Source organism: Homo sapiens, chromosome 1 (assembly GCF_000001405.40).
Source record: "Homo sapiens chromosome 1, GRCh38.p14 Primary Assembly".
Lineage (NCBI taxonomy): Eukaryota > Metazoa > Chordata > Mammalia > Primates > Hominidae > Homo > Homo sapiens.
The window spans coordinates 72,849,711-72,870,560 of NC_000001.11; the positions used below are offsets into that span (position 1 = coordinate 72,849,711).

At 35.2% G+C, this 20,850-nt stretch overlaps 1 long non-coding RNA gene across 1 annotated transcript; it reads left to right on the forward strand.

The window, feature by feature from the left end:
* Window positions 1-578: 578 nt before the first annotated feature.
* Window positions 579-4,541, forward strand: LINC02797 (long intergenic non-protein coding RNA 2797). The gene is made up of 3 exons (XR_001737674.2): window positions 579-657; window positions 992-1,092; window positions 4,445-4,541. It is a non-coding gene; the product is annotated as a long intergenic non-protein coding RNA 2797 (long non-coding RNA).
* Window positions 4,542-20,850: the final 16,309 nt, after the last annotated feature.

Here is a 20,850-nt window from a genome sequence, read left to right on the forward strand (position 1 = left end):
CCTTCTTTCCTTACTTCCTTTCCTTCTGCTTACTATGGCTTGCTCAATGAAGATGAGCAAAGAACTCCAGTGTTCCCGATAAATATGCCAAACTGCAGTGCTCTTTGTTGTGATCAGCATTTTTAAAGGTAGGTTTAAAAATTCAGATTGAAGCAAAGCTCATACTTTATAGAGAAGTGGTAGCAGTGACAGCCTCAAATTGTGAGATTTGGCCCAAGTAATTCAAATCACATGTTTTAATCTCAGTTTTATTTGCATGGGCTACAGGCTATAATTAACATCAAGTGGCAAGACAGGATCACATACAGTAGAGTCCTGGAGTACAGTCAGGTCACCAACATTGAAACAAGCTTTCTGCTACTTAACTATTCAAGACTAGGTCTCTGTGGCCACAGAGAAATGACTAAGGGAGTATTTAATGACCAATTATGTGAGGAGGATAAAGAGGGGTGGACTTTCACCACTAAATGTAGTGGTAAGTGAGATTGTATTTTATTTTGATACCTTCTAACTTCTTTTTCAATGCTTGATGCCTAAATTATTTTGTAATCTGGCCTTTGCCAACTTAACTTCTCATAGAATTCTACCATATACCCAAGGCATACAGACATAACATGAAAACTCCCTGCCAAAAACAAAACAAATTCTACTTCATAGGTAAGAATGTTTCACACATGCTCCTTCTTTTCAATAACTCTCTATATTCTGGAACTAATGCTTAATCATCCTCAATAATCAACTCAATTGTTGCCACTCCTGGAATGGTTTTCCCAAGCATGCCCCAGGCTGAGTTAGGTTCTGCTATGATTTGAATGCTTCTGTTACCCCAAAATTCTTATTTTGAAATGTAACCTTCAAGGTAATGTTATTATGAGGTGGGACTTTTCAGAGGTGATTATGTCATGAGGGCAGAGCCCTCACGAATCCAATCGGTGCCCTTATAAGAGCGAGAGGCCAAAAAGAGTCTGTTCATCTTTTCCACCTTGTGAAGACACTGAGAAAAAGCAGCCATCTATGATCCAGAAAAATGGGAACTTACCAGACATTGAATCTGCCAGCACATTGACCTTGGATGTCCCAGTCTCCAGAACTGTAAGAAATAAATTTCTGTTGTTCATAAGCCACCCAATTTATGGTATTTTGCTATAGTAGCCAAGTAAACTAACAGAGGTTCGCTGCTTTTATTGCATTTATGGCACTGAACCATTCTTATCTAAGTGTAACTACAAATCTGAGTTTTTCTATTACTTCTCTATTATTATTTTATAGCATACTGTCTGACATATATAAAGGGACCTATAAGTGCCTATCTAATAAATTCATGAGGGCTGGGCACAGTGGCTCATGCCTGTAATCCCCACACTTTGTGGGGCAGAGGCAGGCGGATCACCTGAGGTCAGGAGTTCAAGAGCAGCCTGGCCAACACAGTGAAACCCGTCTCTACTGAAAATACAAAAATTAGCCAGGTGTGGCGGTGGGTGCCTGTAATCCCAGCTACTTGGGAAGCTGAGGCAGGAGAATCACTTGAACCTGGGAGGCAGAAGTTGCAGTGGGCCGAAATCATGCCATTGCACTCCAGTCTGGGTGACAAGAGTGAAACTCCATCTCAAAAAATATAAATGAAATAAAATAAAATAAAAATAAATACATACTCCCTCCTTCTTCTGTACAGTCCCATTCTTCTGTGCCAAATACCTAAATTGTGTTCAGTTCATACAAGTTGTTTCTAGATCAAAAGTTATAAGCCTTCATATATCTAAGCAGTATGCATATTTCAGACTTAGGGTACTTTTGAAGTTTGGAAAGTCTCTAAAAAAGAAATGATAGATGAGACTTGGAATATTTTTGAAGTGGTGGCATTTGCAAGCTCGTTTTCTTTAATCTGTAAAGCAGAGGGTAAATTTCTATCTTCCAAATGAATTGTTGTAATTACTGAATTCAGATTGAATGACACTGTGTCCTCTCAGAAACAACTCATCCTCAGAGGATGCCTGAGGTAATCTGTAGATAATTGCTTCTAGCTGGGTTGGTTTAATCATATGCACGCCTTGGGCCCCAGACCCTAGCTCTTGAAATGTTAGTTGCTCCTCAAGAGCCTTCTTCATTGCTTTAATGGGATGTGAATGAGATTATCTCTCAGGACTGCTCTTCCTGGTACTGTATCCGCGTGCTGCATAATTGAATCTGCAAGTGGTTTTGGTAGGACTAAATCAAACCGTAGAGATTCTACAGGGTGTGTTTCTTATGTACTGTAATCTATTGCCAGGAATTCTTTGTCAGTGACATTTGAAATCTGCCCTTAATATTTTTGTAACATGTGGGGAAGCAGTTTCATTGATAGGGTCATTTTCTTTAGCCGTTATGAGAATCATTCAGGTTTCGCCAAAAGATATCATTGGAATATAATTTCCACAAACTGGGGAAATGCACCTTCATGTAATTGATGGGTAGTTATTACTCATTTTAAAAGTATTCAAGCTAATAAATGAAAAAGGGCTTATAAAGTTATGTCATCATATCACCATTTTGCAGCACTAGTAAAATAATGTATCTAAGCAATTATCATCAATGGCTACTAATATCATGAAGACATAGGCAGCACAACATCATGCAAATTCTGATTGAAGTACAGCTATAAAATATTCATGGCCAAACAAAATCAAGCCTGGATATGACCAAGTCTATAGCCCTAATCACCAATGAAGATAAAATATATAGGAAAATATATGCTGAATCTTGAGAATATGATATGTAAAATGTAGGCTGTGTAACTCTTAACAAGTCAGTAAAATATAGGACAAGCAACCTAATTTTTCAAACAAATAACTTGCAGAAAAAAACTAAGAGGTACAGGAGCCTAAAGATCAATATTACCTGGGAGAGTTAAAATGTAAGTCACAAATGTAAATCACATGCTGATTTTAAATTTCCTCTTAGCCACATTAAATTTTGAAGTGGTGAAATATGAGATTTTTCTTTTTGCAAGAAATTGACTTACAGGATTATGGGAACTCACTAGACAAGTCTAAGAACCAACGGGCAGCTCAGCAGGCCAGAAACTCTTGGATAGGAGCTCATACTGAAGTCTAGTGGTAGAATTTCCTCTTCCTCTCAGTTTTACTATTAAGCCCTTACAACTGACTGGGTGAGGCGTACTCAGATTATTTAGGACAGAATAGTCTTCTCTACTAAGTCAAATTTTTGCGTATGCTAATGACATTTATAAAATACATTTACAGCACACCTAGATTAATACTGAATTAAAAAACTGGATACTACAGCCTAGTCAAGTTGACACATAAAACTAGCCAAGTTGATACATAAAACTAGCCATCATACTAACAAACCATTTATGGGGAAGTAGTATTGATAGACTGAAATTTGGGTTCTAGAGTTACTCATTGCTATTAGTTGGTTACTGTTTATAGGTCCTTTTAGCAGACAGAGTTAGAAAATACATATTTTTTAAAAGATAAAATAGGTTTAAACTGATACTTCATATTCAAATTCAGAACCGTATGCTTCTATTTAACCTTACAAATTTTACTGTACATTTTATCTTCTTTCTGTTACAATGGTCATCCCAATTACTGCATTAGCATGGAGAAATATTCATTTCCTTCATCCACAAATACACACTTAGCTTTAGAATCACTATCCCAAACCTACCACCAAGAATGTGATTACTGAATCTATTTACAAATATTTATTGCAGTGCTTTAGGTCCTTGGAATATATCTCATTATGGATGTGCAGTCAAAACACTGTGAAAAAAAAAAAGCTTAATTTTTTGAGTAATGTTAAGTTCACAGCAAAATTGACCAGAAAGTACAGAGACTTTTCATGTCTCAACCTCACTATTGTGTGTATGGGTTGGAAGGAGGAAGTACACTGTTGACATCCTGCATCAGAGTGATACATTTGTTACAAACAATGAGCCTACATCTATAAATCATTATCACTCAAAGCCCATAGCATATATTAGAGTTTACTCTTGATGTTGTACACCCTATGGGTTTGACAAATGTACAATGATATGTATCCACCACTGTAGTATTGTACAGAATAGTTTCACTACCCTAAAAATACCCTTTGCTCTGCTTATTCATCTATCTCCCCCTCCAATCCTTGGCAACCACTTATTTTTTTATTACATTCATAGTTTAGACTTTTCCAGATTTCATATAGTTGGAATCATGCAGTATGTAGTCTTTTCAGATCGGCTTTTTTAAAACTTAATATTCACTTAATAATACACATTTGCATTTCCTTTATGTTTTTTCATGGCTTAATAGCTCATTTTTTTAATGCCTAATAATATTCCGTTGTATTAATTGTTGTCTTTCAGAGAAACAGAACCAATTATATTCTGCAATTTACAAATCCTTTCCCTCTCTCTCTCTCTCTCTCTGTCTGTCTCTATTTCTCTCTCAATTATACGTAGATGATTAATGTTGTTATGGAAGCTGGAGGCTGAGAAGTCCCATTATCTGCCACCAGTACGAGCCAGAATCCCAGGAAAACTCATGGTATAATTTCAACCTGAATCCAGAGGCCTGAGAACGAGGAGAGCCACTGATATAAAGAATCCTATACTGACAAAGAAGACTTCTTTAACACTGACAAAGAAGATTCACCAGAATTTAGGGCTCAATGTTTCCAGCTTCATCAAGGTCTTCCAACACATCTCTGTGGCAATTATAGGATAGCATTTTTTTTTGCTCAATAAGTACTCTCATGTTAAAATACACATCTTGTGAGTCTGTGAGTTCAACTTGTATTGTAATTTAACCACTTAGAAGATGAGATTTTGTGTTTGATTTTCAGCTACTCAGCCCTAAGTCTATAGGAGATAAGGCTCTGTTTAAAAGCAATGATAGAAGTTTTCAGGTTATTTATGTGGTGCTTGAGTTGGAAATTTGTATCCCTGAGCTCACTCTTTTCTTTGACACTTTGTCCAGCCATATAAGTAGCAACAAAATGATCTATCTCATTAAATTCATGATTTTTAAAGAAATGTTCAAAATATCATATACCATTTTCTAGCTTCTGGCTTTTTGTACATAGTTGCTTAGGAATATCAAATAGAGATTTGGCATATTTCTATTGCCATATTGTATATAATAGTTCATATCCATGAACTATTAGTGCCCTCTTTGCAACTGGAAATATAATTATAGCATCTCAACTTTAATCAGAAAAGGAAGCCAATATGGAATATTGGGGTTTATGGAAACCCCAAATATCAATTCAAAAAGCTCGTTTTCAATATTTTGTTACGCTAAAGCCACCTTTGGTTCCAAAACCACTGTATCTATATATCTATATCTGTATGTATATATATACTGAGATTTTAAATATATACTGAGAAGTCCCATTATCTATAGTTGGAGACACAAGAGATCCTGTAGTATAGTGTCAGTCTGAATTCAAAGGCTTAAGAACCAGCAGAAGTGCTGGTATCAGTTACAGTCTGAGTCTGAAGGCCTGAGGACTGGGAGCACTGATGGTGTAAGTTCCAGTCCAAGGGTAGGAGGAGACAAATGTACCAGCACCATCAGGCAGGCATAGAGAGTGGAAATTCTCCCTTTCTGTGCTTTTTAAATTTTATTCACACCCTCAATGGATTGAATGATGCCCATTCACATTGGCGATGTTAATGTGCTTTATATAGTCCACAAATTTAATGCTAATTTTATTCAGAAACACCCTCACAGACACACCCAGAAAGAATTTTTAACCAAATATCTGGGGCACCATATGATCTAGTCAAATTAATACATGAAATTAACCATCAGATTCATTGTCTGATGTACTGCAGTTTATTTATTCATTCACCTCCTGAAGGACATCGTGGTTGCTTCCAAGTTTGGGAAATTTTGAATAATTACTACCAACATTCATGTGCAGGTTTTGGTGTAGACATGTTTTCAATGTATTTGGTTACTAAAGAGCATGATTGCTGGATCATATCATCAGAGTATCTTTAGTTTGGTAAGGAACTGCCAAAGTGGCTATACTATTTTTCATTTCCACCAGCAGTGGGTGAGAGACATTTAGGTCTGTGATCTATTTTGAGTTAGTTTTCATGAAGGCTGTAAGTTCTTTATCTGGATTCATTTTTTTTTAAATGTGTTGTTCTAACACCGTTTGTTGAAAATATTATCTTTGAAACATATATATTATTGTCTTTACTCCTGGAGCTTATAGTAAGTCTTGAATTTGAATAATGTCAGTCCTCTGCCTTTTCCTTCAATATTAAGTTGGTTATTCTTGATTTTTTGCTTTCCATATACATTTTAAAATTAGTTTGTTGATGTCCACAAAATAACACTGGGATTTTGATTGGGATTGCATTGAATCTATATGCCAAGTTTGTAAGAACTGACATCTTGGCAACATTGAGTCTTTATATCCAAGAACATAAAATATCCGTGCCTTTATTTACTTATTTGATATATTTATTATAGTTTTGTAGTTTTCCTTATATAGATTTTTTCTGTGTGATTTAATGTTTTAATCATAGTAAACGTTGGTTATGCATTTAATGAAACTAAACATTCTTTTTCCCAGCTGAGCAAAAGACCCGTGAGCACAAGGCTTATTAACATATTTTACACATTCACTTTTTAGCATACGTGTAATGTATAAAATTCATATTTTTCTTTTTAAAATTTCATTTTATTCTAAATTAACAAGTAATAATTCTATATAAATTTTATGTGGTACAATGTGTTGTTACAATTCATATAGATCTTGCACATATTTTGTTATGTTAATACATTAGTACCTGATTTTTGGTACTGCTAATAAAGATGGCAAATTATTTTTAAATTCAAATGCTCGTTGTTCATTGCTAGTATGTAAGAAAGTGATTGACTTTTTATGTTAAACTTATATCTTGCAATCTTGCCATAATCACATTAATTTCAAGAATTTCTAATACTAGGTGACTTAGTTGAGGGTGAGATGAGATAAAGTCAGAGGTAACAGAGGCCAGAGTGTGGTGCCTTATACAGTCATGCATTGCTTAATAACTGAAATGTATTCTTAGAAATTAATCATTAGGCAATTTCATCATTGTATGGATATCATACACTACCTACACAGACTTAGACAGTATAGCCTACTATACACCTAGCTGTATGGGCTATTGCTCCCAGGCTGCAAACCTGTACATCATGTTACTGTACTGAATATTGTAGGCAATTGTAATACAATGTTAAGTATTTGTGTATCTAAACATAGAAAAGATACAAAAATATGATATAATCTTATGGAATCATCATTGTATATGTGGTTCATCTTTGACCAAAACATTGTTATGTGATACATGACTGCAATTTACACCTTTTTTCTTCTTTTCTTAGCGTGGCTTGAGGCTTATCCATTTTATTGATCTTTTCAAAGAAATAGATTTGGTTTTGTTGATTTTTCTCTATTGATTTCCTGTTTCAATTTTATTAATTTCTGCTCTAATTTTTATTATTTATTTTCATCAGTTTATTTTGGAGATAATTTGATCTTCTTTTTCTATTTACCTAAGGTAGAAATTCAGATGACTGGATTTAGAGTTTTTCTTTTTTAATATACACATTCAATGATATACACTTTCTTCTAAGCACTGCTTTTACTGCATACTACACTTTAATATTTTGATACATTGTATTTTCATTTATATTTAGTTCAACATAATTTTTAAAAATTCATCTTGATATTTCTTCTTTGACTATATATTATTTAAAAGTGCTTTGTTTAATCTCCAAGTATTTTGGGAGTTTCTAGCTATCATTTTGTTGTTGATTTCCAGTTACATTTTATTCTGGTCTGAGAGCAGTCATTGTGTGATTTCTATTCTTTTCAATTTATCACCATGTGCTTTATGGCCCAGAATGTGGGCTTTCTTGGTGAATATTCCTTGTGAGTTTGAGACAACTGTCCAATCTTCTGTTTTATTTTACCCTCACTTACTTATTTTCTGTTGGCCTTGCTCCCTTTATGTTGATATGGTTTCTCACTCATATCATTTTCCTTCTCCCTGAAGAACTCCTTTTAACATTTCTTCAAGGCAGTTATACTGGCAATAAATTCCCTCAATTTTTGTTTAAAGAAATTCTGAATTTTTCCTTCATTTTACAGGGTACAATATTCTAGGATGGTGTTTTTGTTATTCTTTTAATATTTTAAATATTCCACTCATTCTCTTCTTGCTTGCATGATATGTGGGGAGAAGTGAATATAATTCTTATCTTTACTCCTCCATTGGTAAGATGTTTTTTTCCTCAGGCTACTTTCAAGATTTTTTTCTATGTTTTTGATTTTCTGCAGTTTGAATACTGTATACCTATGTGGTTTTGTTTGTTTGTTGTTTGGTCATCTATACTATTTGGTGTTCTCTAAACTTTCTGGGTCTGTGGTTTTGTCTGACATTAAGCAGAACATTTTTCAGATATTATTACTTGAAATAATGTTCATTTATTTCTTCTTCTCTGGTATTCTATTACATGTATGTTATACCATCTCCAGTTGTCCAGTGATACTTGGATATTTTTAGGTGCTTTATTTTCAGTCTTATTTCACTTTGGTTTTTAGTTTTGGATATTTTCACTGGCATAACTTCAAGCTCAGAGATTCTTTTCTTAGTGGTGTACAGTCTCCTGATAGGCCTATCAGAGGCACTCGTCATTTGTGTTACTATATTTTTTATCTCTAGCATTTCCTTTTTATTCTTTATCAGAATTTTCATCTCTCTGGTTGCATTATTCATCTGCTACTTTATGAAACTCCCATCCATTGAGTGTGGACAGGACCAGTGACTTGCTTCTAACAATAGAATATGGTAAAGGTAAAACTGGTGTATGTAATTACATATACATAATATGTATTTGTATTTGTAAGGTAATTATGTTACCTTACATTGTAACACCAGCATTGCAAGGAGACACATTCCTTTCCTGGCTTTAGGAAGCAAGCAGCCATGTTGGGAAGGTCCATGTAGCAAGAACTGAGGGCAGCCTTCGTCTCTCGCTGACAGACAGCAAGAAACTGAGCCCCTCAGTCCAAGTCCACAAAGAATTGAATGCCGCCAACAACTATGCAAGGATGTAAATGAACTATTCTTCACTTGAGCCTCGGAAGGGACCATAACCCTGACTGATAACTGATAATAGTTTTGTGAGATCCTGAAAGCAGAGGATACTCAGACTCCTCATTCACAGAAGCTGTGAGAGAATTCATGTATATTGTTTTATGTCTCTAATTTTGTGGTAATATTGTTATACTTTAATGGCTAATAAAGCTACCAACTCAACAGAAATTTAGATTAAGTTGTTTACTTTGGCTTTATGTTCTTAAGGTGTCAACCTACATTTGTTTTCAAACAGGACCCAGTGTTTTTGGCTGGAAGGAATAATATGGCTATAATAATTTGCCAAGGATTAATAGTCCTTGGCAAACTACATAGAGCAAACTCTTCTATGATCAAATTATATCTTGATTTACCACAGCTTATAATGATAAGACACAAAAATCAACAATTCAGTAACTAAGAACTATAGTGTAGTTTGCAAATAAACAGCACTTTTTTTTTTTTTTACTGTATAAGAGAAAGAAAACCTATTCAAGAAAAATTATGAGTAAATTTTTTTTTTCCTGGACAATATAGCAATTTGAGTAGTTTCACCCTGGGAGCCAAAATTACACCATAAAAAATGTCTTGAATGGCTTTGAGATTTTGCTCCTATTTAGTTTACAACTTCTAGTTGTAGTGTTGAATAAGTCCCTTAAATTATCAATTTTGTAACCTCTGAAATATGGCTATCTAAATGCTAAGACTTATTCTAGATCCAAGTTCTTGCAATTCTCTAAAATGGACAGAGAAAGCTTGGGGAAAGAGAAATCATTGGAGTAATATAAAATTCACTCCCCTACACTCAGTGTTGCATCAACCATTTGTAAACATTTTGATTTGTGTTTAAATTTTATATTTTTCCAGGTGGATATACCACTTGTATAATGTGTGGAAATATGAGAATTTATAGTTGCTTTGGCAAAAGTATAGGCCAAATAAGATTATCATTATATTTATTGATTTTTACTAATTTACTAATTCTCAAGAGATTTTTTTCTCCTCTCTTAATTTGGTCTATAATTTGTTAATGGCTTTTTAGGACTGTTTATTTCCATTAGTTAAAAAAACTTGCAAATTATGTTACTTGAATAAATTTGTGATGATACATCTGAAGAGACGGGAAAATATGCTTTTATTTGTATTAGTCTGCTTAACTGAACTCTCTTAAAGCAAATATCCTGCCTTTTTATCTCTTTTTCAGTGAAGTACCATTGCCATTTACAGGTAAGTTATTTAAACATTTATAGCAAGTACTATAAACAAATGCTGCACAATTAAGAAGTCACATATATTAAGCACATCTATGAAAGGCTCTTGAAAGGGTCTGATTCAACTTTCCTTATCATAAGAAAACTTTCCTGTCTATACAGGCTAGCTTAATAGTCTGAAATAGAATTCTGGAACAACAATTAAAAAAAAGTATACACCACGGCTGATACTTCACATGCTTATTAGCGTAGCATGAATGAAAATGATAATACAATAGCATTTCCCAGTGTGAAATATACAAAGTTGGAGAGGAACAGCATGCGTTGTCATCGGTTAATGTGCAAATGTTCACTGCCAGGGTGAAGCAACCAGGAGTGAACCATGAAATGATTGCATTCACCCTGAAATGTCAGCAAAGCAAGGGAGTGATGAGTAGTAAGCAACTTTTCCTGAGCATGATAAAAGTACTTACTAGAGCAGCAAAAATAACTTACTTAATATTTATATTTTATTAGGAGAGGAACAACTCTGCCTTTGCATACTACGACTTCAAGAAGCACAGGCTGGGCTTAATATGTAAATGCTTATTTTGATGTGCCACCATATGTAGCCCCTTTCCTTTCCAGCTGGCTGGCCTTACTGCCTCTCTTCTTTGCTTTATATCCAACCCAAAGCTCACCAGGAAACTGTTCCTAATTAACTTTATCCATTTTCCTGTTCCACAGATTCATGGACTTTTAGACTAGCAGCATTGGAACAGACTTTAGAAATAATTTAGTTCAGTACCATTTGCCCCCTCATCTCACTTAAATAACTGTGGTTTTGTGTACTGTACACATACACTGGTATGCATACAAACATATGTGTTTCTGATTCTTACCTGTTAGTATACTCTTCATCAACAATGTATATTTTAAGTCAGCTGGGAAAAAGATTATTTAGTAAATTTTCTTTACATCCTTAGATATTTGAGAAAATCTTACTGACAAACAAATTCAAAGAGTTGATGATCAATTTTGCAATTTGAGGGGAGGAGAATATGTAAGTGATATTGAATGCACCCCAGACTGGATTTACTGAGGTGAGTGCTGCAAAATGCCAGTAACGTAATCAAGAACAATCATTTGTTAAAAAATGGTAAGTAGCATGATTGCCTCAAAATAATGAGACACACAGGATAGAGCCTGAAGAAGAAAAATAAATCTGTTTATATTGCCTACAAAATTCAAACAACTTCAAGTATATTTTCTAATTAGACATTGGGTAATTTATAACTAATGCTTGAAGAACAACTTTTACCTTTCCAAGCCTAAATGCTTACCTCATGTTTATGGCACATAATGAAGAAATTGGATGATTGGGTGATGTGGCATTAGTAGCAGCAACAGTAGCCATGGTTCTTGTCATTCTATGTAGTAAAGGCTTAACATGCATTATCTCAGGAAAAATGCTTTATGAAAGTTAATATTTATTAGAGATGAGAAAGGTGAGTCACACGGGTCAAAGCTTGCCCAAAAAATAAGAGTTCGTGGCAGAATTGGAACTTGTTATAGTATCCCAATGATGCCACTACCGGAGAGTTCTTAGCTATACTACTCTTCTCTTCTGTCATTTTATTTTTGAAACAGAATGTTCAATTTAATTAGTTTATTTAGAAAGAGATTGTTGGCTGGATGTGGTGGCTCATACCTGTAATCCCAGCACTTTGAGATGCCGAGGCAGGCAGATCACTTGAGACCAGGAGTTCAAGACCAGCCTGGCCAACAAGGTGAAACTCTGTCTCTACTAAAAATACAAAAATTAGCTGGGCATGGTGGCACGTGCTTATAATCCCAGCTACTTGGGAGGCTTAGGTAGGAGGATCGCTTGAACTTGGGAGGTGGAGGTTGCAGCAGCGAGCCAGGATTGTGTCACTGCACTCCAGCCTGGGCAACAGAGTGAGACTCTGTCTGAAAAAAAAAAAAAGAAAAAAGAAAAAAAAGATTGTCAAACTATCTTGTTCATCACATTTTCAGAAGGACTAAAGAAAAAGACTCCAGGAGCATTTCCAGGAATGACTACCATAACTCCAAACTAGCCTGACAAAGTTGCTTCTACCATTAGGCAGCACCAATATCAGGAAAGCCTCTTGAGAGCTGCTAGCCTCACAACTGTTCCACCTTTGCCACAATCAGCAAGCTGCTGAATATGGAAGCTGTTGATGTGGCTGATAATTCTTGAACCCCACTCCCTCTACCATATTTCACACTATCAAAATAAATGTCTCACAGTGTAGCCTCTTTCTCCATGTAACTTAATTCCAAATTTAAGCTTCATGTAGGTATGTCTGATTAGCAAAAACTATATAATGAGTGTTCCCCTTTGGTGCAATGGCAGCTGGGCAATGCAATAGTGGGATTGTGTACCGTTAATTTCACCATAAGTGAACCAGCAAAATGTAGGGAAAGCTTCCTAATAATGCAGACAGCCTCTATTGAGAGCTGTCCACTACAATTTCCAAGAATTTATTCAATACCTAATATATACAAAACACCCAATGTAAAGATTCACACCTACAAATTGAATAAAACACATTATCGGTATTTGCCATTTTTGGCAAGGGCTGTACTGGAGACTGAGAATAGAAAAACAAAATGAGATGTGTCTCTAATACCACAGTATTTCACTGAGGTAAATGAAGCTTACATACTAGTTATAATCATTATCTCTTTTGAGAAAGAGATTACTTAAAATATGGTGAGTATCATTTTTGCATATAATTTTCATATGCAGTGTGCCTCTCACCATATATGCACATAAAATATACCCTATTGTAAAATATGGTCAATGTCAATAGGGTTTATTGGGAATATTAGAAAACATAATACCAGGTTGATACTTCTATAATTGGACAATATATAGTACAAATAATGCTCATTCTCAAGCAGAATTTTCTCCATTTATTTTCATATATGATTGTTTAATATCAGTAAAGTATTTTCTATATGCTGTAAGGAAGTCATACTCATTTGGCTTTTATTGACTAATCAATAATAATGAGCCTGGTAACAATAATAGCTGGACATGTGTTTGGAATTTTTACGTGTCATCAGAACATTAAATTTCAATATAAGTTGAATAAATAAATTTTATTATTATTATATTTATATACTGCAAAGAAATCAATGGTAATAGAGTATAAGTGAACAGGAAAATCTACTCAGCAGACCTGGGTTGCTTAAATCCTACACATTCTGAAGAAAGACCTATCTTCAGGATTGGCCTCTGGCATGCTTCTGAGATATAACCTCTGAGCCTTTGGAATATTCTGCCATTACAGGAACTTTTTTTTTTTAATGTTTGATCCCTTGGGTCACTCTGCTGTAGCAGTTATCCTAATAATGTGATTTACGGTGAAGGCTTATTTTTGCTTGTATAAGGGGTGAGTTTTGGGGCTGGAGGGCTAGCATCTGAATAATTAAGTGATTTGGGTGCTGCATGTCTATGTGACTAATCTTCAATAAAAATATCTGAACAACAAGGCTTGAGTGAGCTTTCCCTATTGGCATTACTTCACATGTGTTGTCCCACATCACTGCTGGGACAATTAAGCACATCCTATGCAACTCCACTGGGAGAGAACACCTGGACACTTGCACCTGATTCCCCCTGGACCTTGAGCCTATCTCCTTTGCTGATTTTGATCTGTATCCTTTTACTGCAATAAACCATATCTGTGAGTATAAGAGCTTCTAAGTCCTGTGAGATCTACCAGTGAATCATTAAGCTGAACCATCATTATAGGGACCCTTGAGACAGTAAGATGTGCTAAGTACCACACAATTTTACAGGATAAGCCCCAGTGTTTTAAGTGTAAATCATCACGTTTTCTTTAAGAGCAGGCGACTTCTACATATATGACAATAGCACAATTCTGCAGAGCTGCAGGCATGTTATCTTTCCTTTGGTAAAGCACATGTTATAAGCAGAGGTGGTTTGCCTTCCAGCACTCATCAATACTGTCTTAAAGAGTTGGACCATTCATTGCTCATGAAAAGTAAAGCACAGCTATGTTCTATAAATGAGATATTATGGACAAATTGGGTTTTGTAATGGGTTTCTAATTTCATTTTTAGAGGTGAGGATGAACTGTGTTCTGGGAATCTTTCTGTTATTTGAAACTATTCAATAGAGAAAATATTGATCCTGCTTTTCTGTAGTCTCAGTGGGGTGGCTCTTCCTCTGGCTTAGTTTGCAATAATACTCAAGCTGCCTCTGGATAGAAAATGTCACTGGCTTAGCATCCTACAGGTACAAGAATTCCATTGGGATCATTGCTTTGCTCTTCTATTTTCTTAGCTGAATTATTTTCTTTTATGTTGATTTAAGACATTAATTGTAATGCTATTTCTTGATTTTATTTTATTTGTTCTGATATCAAGAAGCCCCTATATTGATCTCATATCTTCATGAGATCTAGTTGTATTTGTTAGCTCTGAAGTCATGTTCAATCTAGATACTTTTTTGTTTTGTTCATTTGTTTACCCTAAGTGCAATATTGACTACATGCTTATAAACTAACTTATTCTATTTCTGTTAGTAAATACATAATAGTTTCATATAATAAAACTGAAAAATCATTGACATGGTTGAGATTTTTTAGAGTCTTACTTTAGTTTTGACTTTAAAATACTAGGGCTATTTTAAGAAATTGGAATACTTGAAATTTCAAATATTGGATATCCACTAAGGGGAAGGAGAAAAAAAATGCAGTAGTAGTTTAGCAGGATATAAACCCTGCAGGCCTAACTGATAGTTACATTCCATCTGGTTCACGCTTTTTTCTGCGGTAGGAACACAAGCTACACACTGAAATGAACCTGATGATTTTCTATAGTTGGCCAACAAGCTGTTGCTTCTAAGTCATATGTTATTCAGTTATGTTTACTTTGAAATTATTTTCCAGTTTAATAAGATTTATGGATTTCCTTTGACATGGAGATTCTCTACATGGTTTCTGTTTATTGTTATCTTCTTGTCTTTTTTAAAAGTCCTGCAAAATAAAATTAAAAAAAAAAAACTATCGCAACATGCTATTTTGTTCTGGTTTTGACTGCAGGCCATATGTATTATTCAAGAAGCATACCAACCGGAACACAAAAGTATGGCACAGAAGTATTTTTATTATGGTCATATAAGATTATCTGAATTTCATTAGCTGCTGTGTGTTTGTGTCTGAAAGAAATGCCCTTCATTACCATTGCAAACTTGCAGAATTTCCTTCCTTGAGACCAGGCTAAACTGAGACCTCTGATTTAGTAAAATAGTTGAGAAGTGGTATATTTATATATAACCCAAAATGTTGAAGATCTACCAGTTTATTTGCTTTATAAATTTATTTGATCTTCTTCTTGGACAATGTCATTTCATGCCAAAATGTGCCTATTCTGGAAGCAGACTAAATAGATGTGAATGCCAACTTTAGTGCTTTCTATTTAGATTACCTTGACAAATTATCTTTAACTGTGAAACAGGAATAATGGTATCTGTCTGTCTAGAACGTTTTGAGAATTAAGTTAGATAATGCTTTTGAAGTCACTAGAATGTAATAAGCATCCATAAATGTAATTTCTGGACTTTAAAAACTAAATTTATAAAATTGGTCTTTCTAAAGCTCATCTAGTTGAATAACATTGCTGACTATGAAAAATAGACAAAACACTCAGATACTGATAGCATTTTTAAAAAAATTTTTGGGTGTGAAAACCAGTTTAACAAGCTAGTTTAAGATTTAGAAAGAGTGCTAGGATGAATTACCATGCCATTTTATGAGCTCATAACTATAACAACAGTAACGCTTATTAGCCATCATTTTGCCATAAAGGGTATCCTATTTGCTTTTGAGTCTTGACTTTTTTTCCCTCAAAATTGATAATAGTTTTGAAATCTTAGAATGACAGAACTAGAAACCATTCAGCCCCTAAATCTAAAAGTTATGCTAAACACTTTGTCTTAATTCCATTAGTAAACAACTGTATGTTCCTATCATATATCCTCTGGACTAGTGAAGCTGTGTTCTGCCTGCTTCTGGTCCATTCTTTCCATGGTACTGGCAGACAGAGAACATTCTATAGCAAAGTGGAAAAGTATAGATACAGCACCAAGAAACATACCTTAGGTACTAAATACTCACTGTGCCTTATTTAACCTCTCCCTGTCTCAATTTTCCTATATCTACAAGTGAATACTATGGTATTTACCTCATAGAGTTAAGACTTAAATGCAATACTTACAGTAAATGTTTAAATTTTAATTTGGAAAGGATACTAGATTTCCACTCATGATACTTAGATCTGATCAGATAATGGTTTACCCCTCATTAAAACCTTCTAGATCCAATTCCTCATATGTTAATGCCTAAATTTATTGCATTTTATTCAAACAGTTGTATTGTTAGTCTATATCTTTAAATTAATCATATTTCTTATTTTTTAATTTTCTTTTATTTCTTTGTGCTCCAGTTAGCACTGAGGTATGTACAGTTTGTTTTCTCATCAGAAATCATGGCTACTTAAGGGCAATATCTCAAAAATATGGGTGATATATAAAGGCATGCCCAAATCACAGGAGGCCATTTTTCAAAATGCATTTGCTCCCTGAAGCCTTTAGAGTATCAAGTGATCAAGCAGTTCCTAAACAGCAACAGCTGGGGCAGCTGCTAGACTGATTTGTTTCACTTCCATAGATTTGGCCAATAAGGAGACAATTAACATTAATGATTTTTGACAATTTATTACTCATGGCATAATAGGCAGCATGAACTTCACAGTCCCATCAGGTTGCTGTGTCCTCCAACTCCCATGGGCCTGACACATACATAGGCAGGCCCAGGTAGATGGGGCACATACAGTGGATCTGCCACTTCTAACGGACTCTGAGATTTTGATATCCCACTCTTACATAAGGGATTCTGGCAAAACCTCCTCTCCTCTTGAGTAAGAAATACTGTCCTACCCTGGAATGTCTCTGAAAGAAGACAGAGATGCCTCTAGCTTTTTTACTTTAAAAAGCCACCAGAGAAACAGCTCAAAATATCTCCAGAAGTCACTATCTTTATGTTTCCAAGGTCATTAAGGCAAACATCTTTGAACAAATTTGTCAACGCCTTCTGCTCAGAAGATGTGCATGAACATGTGACCCTCAGAGAATTAATTCCCAAAGAGGGGGCTATACACACTATTCACTCTTAGAATTATATAAATATTCCAACCTGATGGCTTTGTATATGATGAAAGTAAGATTCAAGAGTCAAAATAATTTAGAGAAAAGCTAAGGTTGAAACATAGATTTCACGCTTGAATCCCAAGTAACAACTCAAAACTTGACTGCATAATATTTTCTTCTAGATCATTATTTCTGTTATCTGATTTGTATCCTTATATACATATATTACGCATTCCAACATTGCAATACATATAAACACATGTATATACTAGCTACTGTATATGTTGTGTATATACATTACAATATTACGAACTACTGTTTTAAAATTATTTCCTGAAAGTGGGCTTTTTTTTTTAATTCAGTGTGGCATCAAGAGACTTGATTTTTGGCTGAGCGTGGTGGCTCACGCCTGTAATCCCAGCACTTTGGGAGGCCGAGGAGGGTGGATCATGAGGTCAGGAGATTGAGACCATCCTGACTAACAAGGTGAAACCCCATCTCTACTAAAAATACAAAAAATTAGCCAGGCATGGTGGCGGGCGCCTGTAATCCCAGCTACTTGGGAGGCTGAGGCAGAAGAATGGTGTGAATCCATGAGGCGGAGTTTGCAGTGAGCCAAGATCAGGCTACTGCACTCCAGCCTGAGCGACAGAGGGAGACTCCATCAAAAAAAAAAAAAAAAAAAAGACTTGATTTTTATCTTTCTCCAAAGTTTTCTGTATTAACCATTTGTCTTTTGCTGTTGCAGACTGAAGATGTTATCAATGAAGAATAAGTACTTTCACATAGTCTCATTTAAGATAATAAGTTATGCATTTTAATATCAAAACTCAAAAGTGTGGAATGAAAGCCTACTTACAATTTTTCATCAATACATCTTCAGAAGAGTAGATCATTCTATAGGAATACTATCATGTTGAATTTTGAAACAATTTTTTTATTTTTAATTTATTTTTAATGTAATTTATTTTTTAAAATAAAAATCATTTAACTATACTTATTTAAAATAGTCTTTACAAATATCTATGTATGTCATGTGTGTACAAATAGAACATGATGCTAGCAAAAAAGACACTCTTATTTGGGAGTTACACTGTATGAGGTGCCAATAAATGGGAAAATAGAAGGACCTGGTGAAATGCATGTCCTTTTTTTTTGGCTACAACTTTGTTTTGATCTAATATGGTTACCTGTAGGCCACATGTGTTGATTTTCTACATTTAAAAAAATTTTAAAAGATTATTTCTTGCTCTGTCGCCCAGGCTGGAGTGCAGTGGCGCAATCTCAGCTCACTGCAAGCTCCGCCTCCCGGGTTCATGCCATTCTCCTGCCTCAGCCTCCCGAGTAGCTGGGACTACAGGCGCCCGCCACCACACCCGGCTAATTTTTTTGTATTTTTAGTAGAGACGGGGTTTCACCGTGTAAGCCAGGATGGTCTCCATCTCCTGACCTCGTGATCCACCCGCCTCGGCCTCCCAAAGTGCTGGGATTACAGGCGTGAGCCACCGTGCCCAGCCTAAAAGACTAGTTCATAACAGATAAGAGAGAAAATACAAAATGAGATACCCAAAAACAAGGTGTCAGCTCTTGACAGTAGATGGTAGTCTTTCATGGAATTTACCATACTGCCTTAATTCATAAGAGACAGTAACACAGTAGGTAATTATCCCCCAAATTCCAGGGAAATCAGTCCTGCATTGGAGTAAAGCTACTGATAGAGAATGGATAGTAAGTGTATGAATTATATAGCTCTACCTGCTACAGCTGTTTTTAACTCAATCGTTCACTTAATATTTAGCGATACAACAAGTAATAACTTTTGACATTATTTCAGGCACTAGGATAAGAGCTTTACATAAATTATCTCACTTAATTCTTAAAATAAGCCCATGGATAGCTACTATTTTCTTGATGATAGCATCATTAAATTCCACTAGACTATATGTAAGCACCATCAGAGTAGAAATCATGTTCATTGTGTTCAATTCATATTCAGTGTTATGGTACTCAGCACACAGCAGATGCCAATCTTTTTTAATAAATGCATAAACAAATACTTATTTTTAATGGAAAGCTTCTGAGCTGTCACTGACCAAATTACTCATTTATAGTTTCATAAGGATAAAATGATGTAATTAGTTCTCTAGCCCCAGTCTGTTTGGCAGCTCCAAAGTTCAGCCTTATAGCTACAATTCTGAGGAATCAAACTTTGAAAATCAAAGCAAACTTTGCAATGTACTACATTCTCTTTCCCTTCTACATCAGGAAGAGTAAAAATGAGAGTAACCCTTCTTTCAGTTCCTGGGACCTTGGGGATTGCATTCACCTTGCTGAGCTCAGAAGGATGAATTAAATGCAACATGTCCACTTGGTTGAAGATATTATGCTAGGGGGATAAATTTGTGCCTGTAATAAAATTTCATTGTCCTGGAGAATAAAAATCATGTTAGTTTCCAGTGATCATGTAAAAATGATCTAAATATTCTTGTCCCCAACATACCCACTGAAAGGAGAAAGAGAGAGAGAGAGGAGGAAGGAAGGAAAGGAGGAAGGAAGGAAGGAAGGAAGGAAGGAAGGAAGGAAGGAAGGAAGGAAGGAAGGAAGGAAGGAAGGAAGGAAGGAAGGAAAGAAGAAGCAAGGAAGGAAGGAAGGAAGGAAGGAAAAAATGTTTTATCCTAGCAATTCTATCCAGAAGTTACCTGCAGCTTAAATGTACATTTTCATTTCACAACTGAATCTTTCTTTCTTTACCTTCTCACTACATTGCCTGTCTGGTTGAATTTATGACCACTGAACTGCATTTTGCTTTATTCTTCTAAAAGTGGTTTAAAAGTGTTCTGGAACTCTCCAAACAATAAAATCTAACAAGAGTAATGTCTTCTAAACAATAACTCATTTTTAAATGGTCAATAAATACAAACAAAGCAGGTCCCCAAAGTTCTCTTTGTAACTTACTAGTGAGAAGGATTAGGAAGAAAAACCCATGTGGACCTGTTGCATAGTGACAGTTATATGGATCCCTTCCAGGCCAGCACTGAACCCCAAGCCAGCTCACTGTAGGTCATTCAGCACAATGTAGTTGGAAAACAACACCTGGAAGCAATGGCTCCTGTCTTTTCGACCAGTTTATCTTCAGAAGTTCTAGTAGTTGGGATTGGAATGGAATGGGAGATTCTTTTAATTTTGAAGCTAATTTGGCTTCGCTGAAACCCAGTTACCAGATCCCATGTGACAGATGGTGAACATATAATTAGTCAACTCAATCAGAACAATTTAAAAGTAAAAGATAATGCCATTAATAATTACAA